The sequence below is a fragment of the Homo sapiens genome, chromosome 3 (genome assembly GCF_000001405.40).
Source record: "Homo sapiens chromosome 3, GRCh38.p14 Primary Assembly".
Lineage (NCBI taxonomy): Eukaryota > Metazoa > Chordata > Mammalia > Primates > Hominidae > Homo > Homo sapiens.
The window spans coordinates 122,885,877-122,900,317 of record NC_000003.12 but is presented as its reverse complement, the minus strand read 5'-3'; the positions used below and the strand labels follow the sequence as shown (position 1 = coordinate 122,900,317).

At 42.8% G+C, this 14,441-nt stretch overlaps 1 long non-coding RNA gene across 1 annotated transcript, besides 1 other annotated feature; it reads right to left on the bottom strand.

The window, feature by feature from the left end:
• Positions 1-7,901: 7,901 nt before the first annotated feature.
• Positions 7,902-13,805, bottom strand: LINC02035 (long intergenic non-protein coding RNA 2035). The gene has a single exon (NR_024618.1). It is a non-coding gene; the product is annotated as a long intergenic non-protein coding RNA 2035 (long non-coding RNA).
• Positions 9,809-9,898: an enhancer, noted in NCBI's record as "active region_20387". NCBI's record gives its function as "activates an Ori minimal core promoter by ATAC-STARR-seq in GM12878 lymphoblastoid cells {active_cell/tissue: GM12878}" and the evidence as "EXISTENCE:reporter gene assay evidence [ECO:0000049][PMID:35858748]".
• Positions 13,806-14,441: the final 636 nt, after the last annotated feature.

Genomic DNA, 14,441 nt, shown 5'->3' with positions numbered 1-14,441 from the left:
ATCTTTTCTTTTTATGTCTTTCTCTCATAGAAGTGATTCTCCACTTTTAGTGCAGAGTTCATTCTAGGGGAGCAAAAAAGTTGGCCAAAGTGACTTGACAGTCCCTGCATCTCCAGGCCCTTCTCATGGGAGAAGAGTCCCTTCTTCCTCCCATGGCCCTGGTTCCCCAGGAACCTGGTCAGATGTTCCTTTAGAGCCACACTACACCTGGTTTTGTTTTGTTGTTTGGGTTTTTTGTTGTTGTTTTGTTTTTTCAGACAGAGTCTCACTCTGTCCCACAGGCTGGAGTGCAGTGGTGCAATCTTGGCTCACTGCAACCACCGCCTCCCTGGTTCAAGGAATTCTCCTGGCTCAGCCTCCCAAGTAGCTGGGATCACCAAAGCCCGCCACGACACCCAGCTAACTTCTTGTGTTTTTAGTAGAGATGGGGTTTCACCACGTTGGCCAGGCTGGTCTCAAACTCCTGACCTCAGGTGATCCACCTGCCTCAGCCTCCCAGAGTGCTGGGATTACAAGCATGAGCCACCGTGCTCGGCTTACAACTTTTTTTTTGTTTGTTTTTTTGCCATCAAATCTTGCCTCTTTTGATGTCTTATGTTTCCTGGGTTCCTTTTCTTTAAAATACCAATTGGCTACGCAGATTCCAGCCTAAGTGTGACTGGTTGACTGTGCATAAAGGTTTTCAGGGTCTGACCTCAAAGAAGTCAGTGATGTTGGGGCTTTCAGGATCTATACCTGGGCATTTTGGGCAGAGGGAATCCCAAAGCCCTCGACACTGAAGCTGTCTGGGATCCTACGGCCCTCCCTTCTTCCACCCCTTTCCTTATCTCAGGAGTAGGGACAAGGCCCAGGGTTCCTGGAATTCCTCCCTGGTTCCCCCAACCCTCCGTTACCAGCACTTGTGATCCGGGCAAGGAGTGGGGCCCTTCTGGCTGTTTAGGGCATCTTTTTAGACTTACAGAGTTCCTGTGTTCTCTTCATCTTCATTTTAATGTCCATATGATCCCTAAATGGTGATAGAAAAGCTGTTACTGTCACTTGATGTGTGGGAGGGGCTTGAGACAAGTGGGCATGGGAAGACCAGACTTCCATCTCCACCCTAGAAAATGACAGGCAAATGGACATCTCAGTCACGGTTTTGTCATGTCTATTACTCCCAGGTTTCTGAAACAGCTCCTCCCACCCATCCTCCTCCCAACAGACAAGCAGTGTTGAGCTGGTCTTTGCACAGGGATGGCTACAGATTGGCTGCCTGCCACGGTGTGCAGTCTTGAAGGACCCTATCCAAAAGCCCAGAGGGAAATCAGCTAAGCCAGTCAGAGTGGCTGTCTGTGGGATCTGGACTGAAGAATGAGGATAAGATAGGCTAGTAGCAATAGAAGAATGTAGCAGAAACACCGAGACTGCGAGGGAGAAAGACTGGACTGGCTGAGATTGAGAGACAGGGAGGGAGAGAGAGAAAGGGTAGCTGGCCCCCTCTTGGCTCCAACCCATATCCAGTCGAATCACTTCTTATGATGGCTGAAGTGACTCTATGATTCTTGTAACTGTAGGAGCTCTCTATCTCATGGACATCCACGGGTGTGGCTCAGAACTCACTCTCCTGGACCAACTTCTCCCTCTACCCAAATACCCTACAAAGGAGATTCTTTGCCCAAAAGATGTTACCATTGGCTTGGCCTATGATCTTTACTTTTAAATTCTCTTTCAGAGAAAAGAGGAGTTTGACACATTTGTGTTTGCTTTCCTGGGCCACATCCAGAAATAAACGGTCTATGTGCTGAGGTAAATCCAGTTCCCGGACATCTTATCTCCCCACTCAGAGGAGTGAATCCAGCTCTCAGCCAGCACCACACATGTTCCTGCTTGTTCGTTTCTGTGAAGTACTGTGGGGTAGAAGACTATTATTGTTATTATTATTTTTTTACCACATACTTTCTGAAAGATTTCCAAAACATTAGTTACACCCTCACAATTTTTACGTTGACATCTAGAATTTCTCATTGTAAAGAGCTGCAAAAGATGTAATTTCTGGCATATTGTAAATAGTGACATTTTAAAAATATAACTGTTCTTTTAAAATGTAGTCAAGAGAATCTAAAAAGTACAGCGTTTTAAAAAAATAGAGAAAGAATTCTTGAACAAATGGAAAATTTGCTTTGTTCCTTTTACTCCTCGGAGTATCCTTCTACTTCCCCCACAGAATTTTATTTTAATGTAATACATTTTTAAGCCTGAAAGTTTTTCATTGTTCACCTATCATACTTCTCTGCAATGAAAATATGTATATGAATTATAATTTTAATTTTAAAAATGTCTTATAAGATCTAAGTTTAAAAATGTATTTGGGATTAAGATATCCATGATTATTATTGATATCAAACATTATAAAGATATTTGAATTTTGACAATTATTAAATACAAAGTAAAATTTTAGAGAACAGAAGTTTAGAATAAACGTCACTTATTACCACAATGAGAAAAATTAACAGGAGAGAAAGACAATGTGTGCACAAGAGAGAGTGTGCGACATCTCAGAAGGCCAGTAAGTTCAGAAATTGAAAAATCATTGTTGTTAAATGAATTATTTACAGACGAAATCTTTTAGATTGTGGACATTGAAATCTATGGCAGAAATTTTTAAAAATAGACAAGTTGGCAATGATGAGAAGACTTGTGCCCAAGTAAAAGATGAATATGGATTTTATAGTATTTGATAATCTTTTGGCAGAATGTAATAAAAATGGTAAAACTTTTAAAAGAAAAATACGAGAAAATCTTTATGAGCTTGGGTTAGGCAAGGATTGATGTGACATCAAAGGCACAACAATCCATAAAAGAAAATATTGATTTATTGGACTTCATCAAAAGTAAGAAAGACATTGTTAAAAGAATGAAGAGATAAGTCACAGGCTAGGAGAAAACACTTGCAAATCCAGAACATATAAAAAATGATCAAAGCCCAATGAGACTCAGGCATGGTGGCACACACCTGTAATCCCAGGTACTCAGCAGGCTGAGGTGGGAGGACTGCTTGAACTCAGGAGTTCAAGACAAGCCTGAACACAACCCTGTCTCAAAAACCAAACCAAGAAACAAAAATCCAGTGAGGAAAAAAAAATCCAGTAAAAAAATGGGGAAAAGGTTTGAAGAGGCCCTCCGCCAGAGCTGATTTAGGGGTGGTAAATAAACAAGTGGAAAGACGATCAACATCCTTAGTCGTTAGGAAAATGCAAATTAAAACAACGAGATACCACAGCATATTATTACAATGGGTAAAATTAAAAAGGCTGATCAGGCTGAGTGCGGTGGCTCACACCTGTAATCCCATTTTGGGAGGCTGAGGCAAGTGGATTACTGGTCAAGAGTTCGAGACCAGCCTGGGCAACATAGTGAAACCTTGTCTCTCCTGAAAATACAAAAATTAGCGGGGTGTGGTGGCACGCACCTGTAGTCCTAGCTACTGAGGAGGCTGAGGTGGTAGAATCACTTGAACCCTGGAGGCAGAGGTTGCAGTGAGCTGAGATTGTGCCACTGCACTCCAGCCTGAGTGACAAGAGGAAGAGTCTGTCTCAAAAAATAAAAATAAAAAATGAAAATAAAAAAAAGGCTAATCATACAAGGCATAGTAAGGATATGGGACAACTGGAATTCTTCTACACTGCTGGTGAGAATGAGAAATGAAACCACTTTGGAAAACAGTTTGGAAGTCAAGCATTTCAAAAGACAAAAATTATAACAAATTTAGCTTAAAGAACTTTATCTGTTTTATTTATTTATTTGTTTTATTTTAATTATTTATTTATTTTATTTATTTATCTATTTTATTGCCATTCTAGAATTGAGCAACACTTCATTCCATAAAATAGAGTAAGTATTCCAATGAGCTGAACAGAAGAGGCTGGCTTTATAGACAGAGAAGGGCTGAAGAAAGCAAAAACTAAGAGAAAAGAGTAGAGGTCATTTCAAAGTTACTTTCCATGTGACGGGGGACAGGGAGACAAAACAGGGGAAAGATAACTGGTTCCCGTCAGGTGACTTCAGGTGACTTTTTGTCATAAGGATGAAAACATGGAGAACTTCATTGTCATGCCCATTAAAGACTGAAACTGGCCTGTCTGGGGAATTGGCCGTTCTCTCTTCTGATTTCGTAGAAGGTCAGATAATAACTTATTTTCCGTTTGGTGATATGGAACTTTAGCATGAGTGACTCCATTTTTACTTTTAGAGTGGTCCATTGGGGCTTGGTGCAGGAGCTTAGTCCAAAACAACGGGTTGCTATAATCTGTATTTAACAGCATATGCTTACTATATGATCAGCCATTCCATTCCTAGGTTTTTCCCCAAGAGGAAGGAAAACATATGTCCACACAAAGACTTGTACACAAAGGCTCACAGCAGTTTTATTGATAAGAGCCAAAAACTGCACAGGATGCAAATATCCATCAGCACATAAATGGATACACACATTGTGATATAGCCACACAATGGAATCTAACTCAGCAATAAAAAGGAACAAACTATTGATACATGCAGCACCATGAATAAATCTCTAAATAATTATGCTGAGTGAAAGAAGCCAGACAAAAATAATTAGAACAACAGGACATACTGTATGATTCCATTTATATACAATTCTAGAAAATAAAAATGAATCTATAGTGACTGAGAGCAAATCGTGACTGCCTGGGGAGGGGGTATGGAGACAGGAGGGGTGGTAGGGAAGGAAGGATATTAAAGGGGGTAGATGTGCTCACTATCTTGATGGTAGTGATGGATGCATGGGTGTGCACCTGTCAAAACTTTTATTTTACACTTCAAATATGTGAGGCTAACTGTATGTCAACTGTACCTTCATTAAGTGGTTAGAAAAGTATGAATAAATGTCCAAGAAAATGTAAAATACAAACTTACCTCTTACAATGTTCCTTTTACTCGAAGGTGTACTGTTCATCTGTACAGTAAGGAATAGGGAACTTCCTACCTTCGCCTCTTTGCAATATTCTCAAGGATGCCCCTGGGACACAGACCAAGGCACCAGAGAAGGAAGTACTATCGAAGCTCCTCCTTACTACTGAGAATGGTGAAGAGGCAGAGAGGATGAACTCAAAAGCAGCATGCTTTATTCCAACCCGGAATATAGTTAGATAAGGTGTGCAGCCTTGACCCGAGTGTCACGTGGAAGAAACAAGGTCCTGCTGCCCTCATGGTTGCTCACTGATGCCCTCCTTGCCTTCTTTTCTCAGAACTTGTCTTCAGCGGTTTGGCGATCTTTCACAGTAGTTGGGAAACAGGAGAAGTAAGATTATTAAACAACAATTGCCATTCTTTCTGCTCCTCCACTCTATAATCCATCTGAATCCTGAAAATCCCAAGTCAAAGCACCCCATCTCTAATGCCACATTGTCTGGGACAGAAATACATACAGAAAAGGGACAGATACAAAGCGCTACCCTGGACTCATCATGACAACTGTCGTAAGAGGTACCGTGGACGCACATTCTTAATCGTCTTCTCTCACTTTTTTCTGGCAGTGAGGAGGTTTTAATTTTACTATTAGTTTTTTTATTTTTATTTTTTACATCCAGGACCTCCGCAGCAGTGCTGCTAGGTGTGAGAGATGCATCTGTTGCTTGTGAAGTGGGAACAGGGAGCAGGTGAAAGGGGAAGCGGGAAGCGGAACACAGCCGTGACCTCCTGTCAGCAGGCGCTGTCTTAGATCAGTTTTAGGAAAGGCAGTTCTTGCTTTCCTTCAGTCTCTCGTGCTTGTGAGCCTCTTGTGCCCCTTGCCCTGATCCAAGGGCCCCTGATGCTGAGGGATGACCGTGGACTTCCGAACTCCAGCCCCACTATTTACTGAGCAGCTGTGTGCTGCGTGACATGGGGGTGGTGACACCTACCTCGCAGGGGTTCTGAGAAGAGTAAATTGATTAAAGGACTTCGTGTAGCACAAAGGGCAGCCTGTACAAATCCATGGCCCTCGGAAAACCCCCTTCCCTCCACATTTGGATAAAGAGCTACCCAGCACCTACTGTTTCCTGGTTAGAGCCCGGGCCTCTGCAGCAGCCACATGGCCTGGGCTCAAACCCAGCTCCACCCCACACACCAGCTATTTGACCTGGGGCAGTTTTCTCCTCTGATGCAAAATGGAGCTAATAATAGAACCTACTCCGGGTTTGCTGTGAGGCTGAGGCATGGAAAGTGCTTGGAACAGTATCAGGCATAGAGCAAGCACCCAAAATTATCACCACTGTTACTGAGCTAAGAAGCACTGGGGGTTCAGGCCTGTTTCCGCAATCTGAGTCACGGATATGTCAAAGTAAATGTGAAAAATATGATCTTCAGCTTCATAAAAATTGCTTTGTTGACAAAATTCAAAAATATAACCTAGCATCCTTTAGGGAACAAATGATACTCATCCAATAAATTATGCATGAAACAACTCTCTAAGACACCACTAGTGAAAAACGAAAGTATCCCTTATAGGGCCTCCCCATCTCCATTTATATCCAAATGAGAATTTGCCTCCCTCCCTCCAGCCCTTCCTACATCGTCTCCTTTCTGTCTTTTGCTAGAATTAAGAATTGAATGGTCTTAAAGATCATCAAGTCATGTGTGTGTGTTTTTTTATTTTGGTGGAGACCAGGCTGGTCTTTAAGTCCTGACCTCAAGCGATCCTCCTGTCTTGACCTCGCAACATGTTGGGATTACAGGCGTGAGCCACTGCACCCCGCTATCAGGTCCAGTGTTTTATATAAGAAAGAACTAAAGAGGTGAAATAGGGCCCATTCATGCCGAGGGCATGTGGTTTGTAAGTAAAGAACAGGAAGGGGAAGAGGTCAGTGTGACTCACTCTCCTGTCACCCTTCTCACCTGAGCAGAATCCTGAAATGCATTCATTTGCTAGTAGACCCTACGGGGCTGGCTAAAGAACTAACCTGGGGACACATATCGGGAGCTAAAGTCTTCATATCTGAACAAAGTAACGTGCTTTCTGGTTATCTTTTCTAACAAAATCATCAGAAACTAGGATAAATATACAATGGGTATTCCCCAGAATCGATCTCCTCAGGAACAACCTAATGTCCCACAATAAAATGAAATTTTAAATTATGTTTCCTTGTTATGGGAAAATGTTCAGGATATAATGTTAAGAATATAAAACAAAAACACAGTACAATCTGTACTATATTAAAAGACATTTACAGCAAGAAGAAAGCATTACACTTTTCTGTATTTAAAAGTCTTTAATAGCTGTTTTTTGTTTTAAACAGTGTCTCACTCTGTCACCTAGGCTGGAGTACAGTAGCAGGGTCACTGCTCACTACAGCCTTGAACTCCTGGGCTCAAGCTATCCTCTTGCCTCTGCCTCCCAAAGTGTTGCGATTACAGGCATGTGCCTGGCCCTGTGTATTATTTTATGATGGAAAAATTATTTTTAAAAATCAGGGTAAGAATTCTGTTTCCTATATGGCATTAAGATAGGTACACTGTGTGTTCACCCAACCAGCATTCATTGAATAGACGCTGAAGACTCAAGAGGGAAGGGAGGGAAGAAGGCCAGGAACACGTATGAGGCAATCAAAATGTGCCAGGAGCTTTGTGCTCCTCACTCTATTCCAACACCATAAAATCCAGGCAAAGGTAAATGTAATTATCTCCCTCCCTGATTTTATGTTTTTTAAATGAATGAGGACAGGGGATTTCCAAAAGAGACAACGGAATCCCCGTCTCCGGGCTTGCTGCGGAGGAGAAGGATTTGGCCCAGCCGCCTCTGCTTCCTTACTCGTATTTTTTTTCTCACCACATCTTGCTGCCCGAACGCTCAGGAAGCTTTGGCTCCACTTCTACTGCCATTTGGAGTTTGATTAAAAACAAAATGCGGACCACGTTATCACAAGTGCTTTCAATACATGTTTATTGCAAAACCACAAGCACAGTAACCATAATGTCAACATAACCGTATTTCCTAACGGAACAGGAGATCGCCATGCCTAAGTGCGTGCGTTTTCCAAAGAAATGGCGGCTTATTTGGAAGCTCACACGCTGCAAGTGATGACGAGAAGCCCTGTTGTGAACTAGGAGTTCTAAACCATTAAACATTTAATTACCACTTTGGCAAAGCAATGCACATTACCATTTCTACAATGGAACAGCACAGAGATTTTAAATGCATCTTTATTTTTTAGAATCTTCAGTATTCACAATGTGTAAAATGAAGCAGCATTTTAAGTAAAGCTCTATGCCAAAACAGTTTCTTAAAAAGTCTGGATTAAAAAGAAGGAAAACCACACATGAATAATATTTATCAGTGCTCACAGTTGACACTAACTATAGTTTTTTAAAAGAATAAAAATACTCAAGACTTCAACATTTCCTTACAAAAGTATACTTGGCCATAAAATAAAAATCTATAAAACCCCAAATATTACAAAAGTAAAATGCAAAAAAATTTTGTATACAAATGTAATACAATCTTTACATGGTAAGGATTATTTAAAAACACACAGAACACTTCCTAAGTGTGGATGTGCTTGGGAGCTGAACTCATCACACACCTCTGCTCTGACCATTGCACAGACCTAGCAGGTGGCAGAGCGGGTGCACGGCCCCTGGCATCAAGTCTCAGTGTTGGCAGGTTTTAAGCTCCCCCCGTACCCATTCATACTTGCATCATCTCTTGTGCTGGAGAAGCTTGCTCAGGCATATGGGGTGTCACAGGAGCTGCGGCACCTGCCTTCCAGGAGCCTGTATATAACCTATATCCTCGTGTTACTGCTTTAAAATCAGGCCCTGGAGCTGGGAGGACTCTCAAGAGACGACCCTGTCCTCTGGGCCAGTCCTGACCCACTCTGGCAGTGAGTCTACCGCAGCCTGCTGGAGCACTATTTCACCCTGGCAGTCAGAGGGTTCCACTGCAGCCATTTCTGCCAAAAACCTCTCCCAGGATGGGCCCAGATCCCGAACAGAAAAGGACTTTGTTCTTTCACTTCTTGATGCCCTCTTCAAAGGAGTCAGAGGCATCAAGTGTCACCTGGGACTGGAAAGAAGGGAAAGGGGAGGGGATGAGTTGGAATGAGACTCAAGGCCCAAGGCTGATGGGAAGGGATGGGGGTCTGTTGGGCATGCTAGGACCCACCAGCGTGGAGAGTGCTGCAGGCTCCCTCACCAGCAGAGGCCTCTACTCTGGGTTTCTGCCATAATTCTATCTCCACTGCTGGCCTTCCTGCTCTGACTGTAATGTGGTGCAGAGCCATGAAAGCCAGACAACTAATGGCATAAAATGAGGCCAAATACACCTTGGCTCGATAACAGACAGGGAGAACAATAAAGTGCTTGGGCTTTGGAGAGTGATTTTGGTTGGACAGGCTTTCTGGCTTGCTTCTAGGTATGTGACTGAGAGAATGGAGGCAGACGGAAAAGTCTGGATGGAATAGGAGATAGTAGCTTTACTTGGATCGAAATCCCCTTAGACTACCAGAGATTTCTCTGCATCCAAGAATTGGTATGAAAAGTAATTACTCTGGCAGAATGCATGAAACACAATAAAGTAGGAATAGAAGCATGCCTTCAATCAGAGAACATTTCTTTAGAGGGGTGACTGTGAAAGTTAAAGACTTTTGAAGAAAACACAGCTCTTCCCAGGCTGCAGTGGATGTCTAGATTCACACTGCGTTCTCAGAGCACAGGAACCTCCACTATGCCAGACGGGGCATCTGTAAGGCCAGCTTCCCCAGATGGCTGGTTCTACCTTCTAGAGTTTCCACAAGGCTTGGAGTCAGCTGCTCACATTTAAGAGAAGGAAGGAAGTGTGAGATGTGAGGCTGCTTCCCCACCTCCACCTCCACAACTCTTCATGCTGGGGTCCTTTGCCCTGACTTGTTCTGCCTGTTTCCCCTGTCACTCTGTTTCTTGACCCCTCCCTCCCTCACACCCTCATTCTTTGAAAGCAAGAACTTCTAGTGCAAAGGGGAGTGGCTCTGGAACTGATGACAGAGGGAGGTTGTAGAATCTCTATCCCTCGAGAGCTGAAAAGGCAGCTAGCCAGACCCTCTGCAGGCAGGATGTGCTTGGAGGCGGGAGGCTGGGCCAGATGACTTCGTGAGAATGAGCCAGCTTCAGAGTTCTGCTTTTCAGAACCTGCTTCCACCACAACTCCATGCCTCCAAGCCTCCTCCTGTACTTTGGCTTGGCACACATATTAACAAATACGTCTACAGGTCTGGCTTCTATTTCAATACTCTTCCACTGCGGTCTCACAGATCTCCTTACATGGTTCCTGTCTCTCCCTTGGTAGGAGGCTCTTTTGGCCTAATCCCATGCCTTAATGAATGAATGCTGGCAGATCTGAAATCTTTGAAAGCTTGTTAGCTTTCCCTAAAAACCTTTTCACTTATTTTCAAGCCATCAAAACAGATTTCTCTGCCTTTCCCTTCAAAGGCTGTCCAGCGGCATTTTTTTAATTCTAAGAAGGTCACACATAACTATATATTGATTAGGGACAGCATGGATTTTTAATGGCCCAAGGAAACAGGATTTAGAACATATTTTCCCAAGAAAGTAAGATCCCGTACAGGAATCAAGACAGCTGTACAGATGAGCTACAAAGCTTCCAACAGCCCTTTTGGGGGTGTTGCTGGCTTTGAGTTAGGTTTTATGAATGGACTCACTGGAATGCAAATCTGAGGGCCAGGAGGCTGATTTGTTTGCTTCTGCACCCTCAGTGCCTAGCCCAGTGGCCAGCATGAAGTGGGAGCCCAAAACATGCTGGTGAATTATTAAATTATTAGCTACAGATTCCTCAATCCTGGTTCTTTTTTAAAAAAATCTTAATACGATCTGCTTTTATGATAAAATCCATGCCTGACTTTAGAGTGTTCATTATGTTCAGATTGTATAACAAAGTAGAAAAGATCATAGTCTGCTTTAAGATGAGAGAAACAGTTTTCCTAAGAAAAATTAAAGCTTTTAAAAAAAACATGAATGAAACTTCAGGACCTAGATAACCAAGAATTTACTGGTAAAGGAATACTGACAAAAGAGTGAAAAGGTAAGGGAATCAGCAGATGGTTCAATAGAGTAACCTTTTCCCAATTAGATGGAAGGACAATTACAGGCAACAGAATATAGCACGGAGCTTCTGTGCCTAGGTGGTCTATATTAAACTTGAGTAAAAAAAGAACAAATACAGGGACTTCTCTATTCTGAGATAGAAAAGGGTCAAACATTAGGACTAAGGTATCAATTGATTTCTTTTTCCTGAAAAGGTCAAGTGCAATTGACAAAAGAGGAGGAGGGAGGCCCAAGGTAGGGATTCTTTGGGACATGGGGCAAGGATCCTGGAGCCAAAACCCAAGGGACAGCGGAGGTATGGAGGAGAGGGATGGCTTTACTGGGGATACCTGTATTACTTACTACAATGATTTCTCAGCAATAACTCATTGATCAGGAAGAGTGAGTGCAATGCGAATTAGTGAATTCAGGGAAGGACTAAGAACCACCACCTTCAACACACACACTGAACTCTACTGAGCAGGCCCTATTCTTCCTATGGCAGGTAAGATGGGATCGACTCCCTCTCATGACTTCTTCCAGGCACTTTCTGAGTCACAGACCTAAACAGAAACAGGTAGTTATGTGTGTAGGCCAAGGAAGTGATTTTGTTTGGGACTTGTGGATGCAGTGTATTAGGATGGAGGCGGGATTTTCTTAATGCTTAATTTTCACAAGCCTCCAAAATGACATATTTCTGGTGGGGAGGGAAGTAAATTCGGAACTCGGGGCATTTGTAGTAAATGAAATAATTGGCAGGAACTAAAACCTGCCCTTTTTAGCATTCTTTGGGTTTCTGCAAAGGCTCAGGGGGCTGGGACTTCACTAGCAATACATCAAGTGTGATTAGGTTTACTCACACGTATAAACTGAAGGGTTTCTGCAGTCTCCAGCCCCCAAAGTAGCCCTGCTCTATGTGGCTACCTGATATCCCAAATTCTACCATTAGAAAGCCCCCTTTTGGTATTTAGCCTTTGTTCTTGTTAGTATTCAAATTCCCCTTAGAAAGGAGACCCACAAAGCCTTATGAGTATAAGCATCTTAGCATGTATGCATTTGTTAAATTTTGTCTTAAGAGAAGGCTGGGGTACCAACAACATTCCCAATTTCCCATAGGAGTAATAACCAATTCCTCAGCCATGGAATGATGGTAGGGTTGGGATTCCTCATGCAAAAATTAATTCTGTGCCTCCAGACAGATCCAGATCTTACTCATGAAAAGAATATCAGTGGGACAGAATGTCTTTTCCTCAAAATCAGTTATGGTTTATGATTTGAGAACAATATATGGGCTCCTGTTATGCATAATTATTTGGGAAATTGTCACTAGCTCTTTGTAATTGTTAGTTCAGGAGTGTGTTTTTTAAAAAAAAACCTTCTGACTGGGCATGGTGGCTCATGCCTGGAATCCCGGTACTTTGGGAAGCCGGCAGGAGGATCGCTTGAGGCCAGGAGTTCGAGAATGGCCTGGCCAACATGGCAAAACCCCATCTCTACTAAAAATACAAAAATTAGCTGGGTATGGTGGCGCATGTCTGTAGTCCCAGCTACTCGGGAGGATGAGGCACGAGAATCCCTTGAACCCGGGAGGCGGAGGTTGCAGTGAGCCAAGATCACACCACTGCACTCCAGCCTGGGAAACAGAGCAAGACTCTGTCTCAAAACTATCTCAAAAAAAAAAAAAAAACTTCATTTTTCTGATTATCTTTCACTGCCATGTAATTGTACATATATAAATTACTCTGCATACAGAATGAATAGTATACATGGATGAAGGAACGAATAGATATAACAGTCTGAAAGTTTCCCTAATGCTGGCACCTGTAACACATCACTAACAGGGCCTTGTAGAAGTTCCTTATTGGTTTGAGAAGATAATGTATAAACTGGGAGTACTGGTGGAAAAGTATTGCACTCATGTTTTCTACTTTTTGGTTGTGTGTGACCAAGGGGTATAGATCAGAGAACTGTAAAACTTTTCAGCAAAAAGAAACATCTTCTCTGACCCTCCTATTTCAGAAGTGAGGAAGCCAAAGTTCAAAGAGAACAGATGACTTGCCCAAAGCCCCATGTCTTCAGCCATGCAGAAGACAGACGCCCAGACTTCCTGACACTGAGGTTGGTCTTCTGGTTCACTTCTCTCTCTCAGAGCTATTAATATTATGCTCACATTATAGTCACGAGGAAGTCTTGTTGGCCGGACATGGGGGCTCACGCCTTTAATCCCAACTCTTTGGGAAGCTGAGGTGGGAGGATTGCTTAAGTCCAGGAGTTCAAGACCAGCTTGGGGGAACATAGTGAGACCCCTTCTCCATAAAAAATAAAAAATTAGCCAGGGGTGGTGGCATGCGCTTGTAGTCTTAGCTACGCAGGAGGCTGAGGCAGGAAGATCACTTGAGCCCAGTAGTCTGAGGATACAGTGAGCTATGATCATGCCACTGCACTCCAGCCTGGATGACAGAGACTGTCTCAAAACAAACAAACAAACAAAAAAACCCTTGTTTACTAACACTTGAGTACAGATCATTCCTTGACATGCTGAAACTTAGCTCTTATTCTGTAAAATATCTGCACAGTTTACTGGAAGAATCTGACCATGTGGAGATGGCATCATTGCAAAGCAACTTACAATTCTTTGATGCCTTAACTAAAGATGTAAGTTCAAGGATTGGCTTTACTACCTGACCTAACAGTTTTGATTTCTACAAGTGCAAACCCATGCTGCCTCATGATGAATCCAATCAAACCAAAGGACTCGTATCTCGTTTGATCTGATTCTGGTGAGCAAATGCAGTACCCCGACCTGGCTCCCAGTATGCTATCTCAACATCAGATGACAGATTTTTCTCTTATTGCATTTGATACATTTAATAAACCCTGTGTTTCATATATAAAGTCCTTTGGGAAAATAAACAGCACCTGCAGCTTATCTCCTCCCACAGACACTGAAAAAGCAATTTCTTCTTATTGAATGTGGATGCAGCATAAGATTTCATATGTTCACGTACAGGGCTCACATGAGGGGGGCTACCGCACAAATGGAAACACCAAGGTGCTGGGCACCTCTCCAGCTTTACAGACTGCACATGCTTTGGTCATGTTCATATTTAAATAAGAATCAACTGGTATTTCTGAATTAGAAGAAATCTAAGGGAACATTTTTGCTCACTCCCTCATTTTAGAGATGTTGCTAAAGGAGAAATGAAGTGACTTGCTCAAGGTCAAATAGCTGAAGTCACCAGGCCAGGGTTAAGAGCCAGACCCGTGGGCTCCTACACCAGTGCTCTTTTTCTCTGTCCTCTCTAGTAGGGTCCATGAAGAATCTGCATGCCCGGCTCTCTCCTCTCCACCGCTGGCAACTCGTAAAATCTGGGTGTCACACAGCTCGC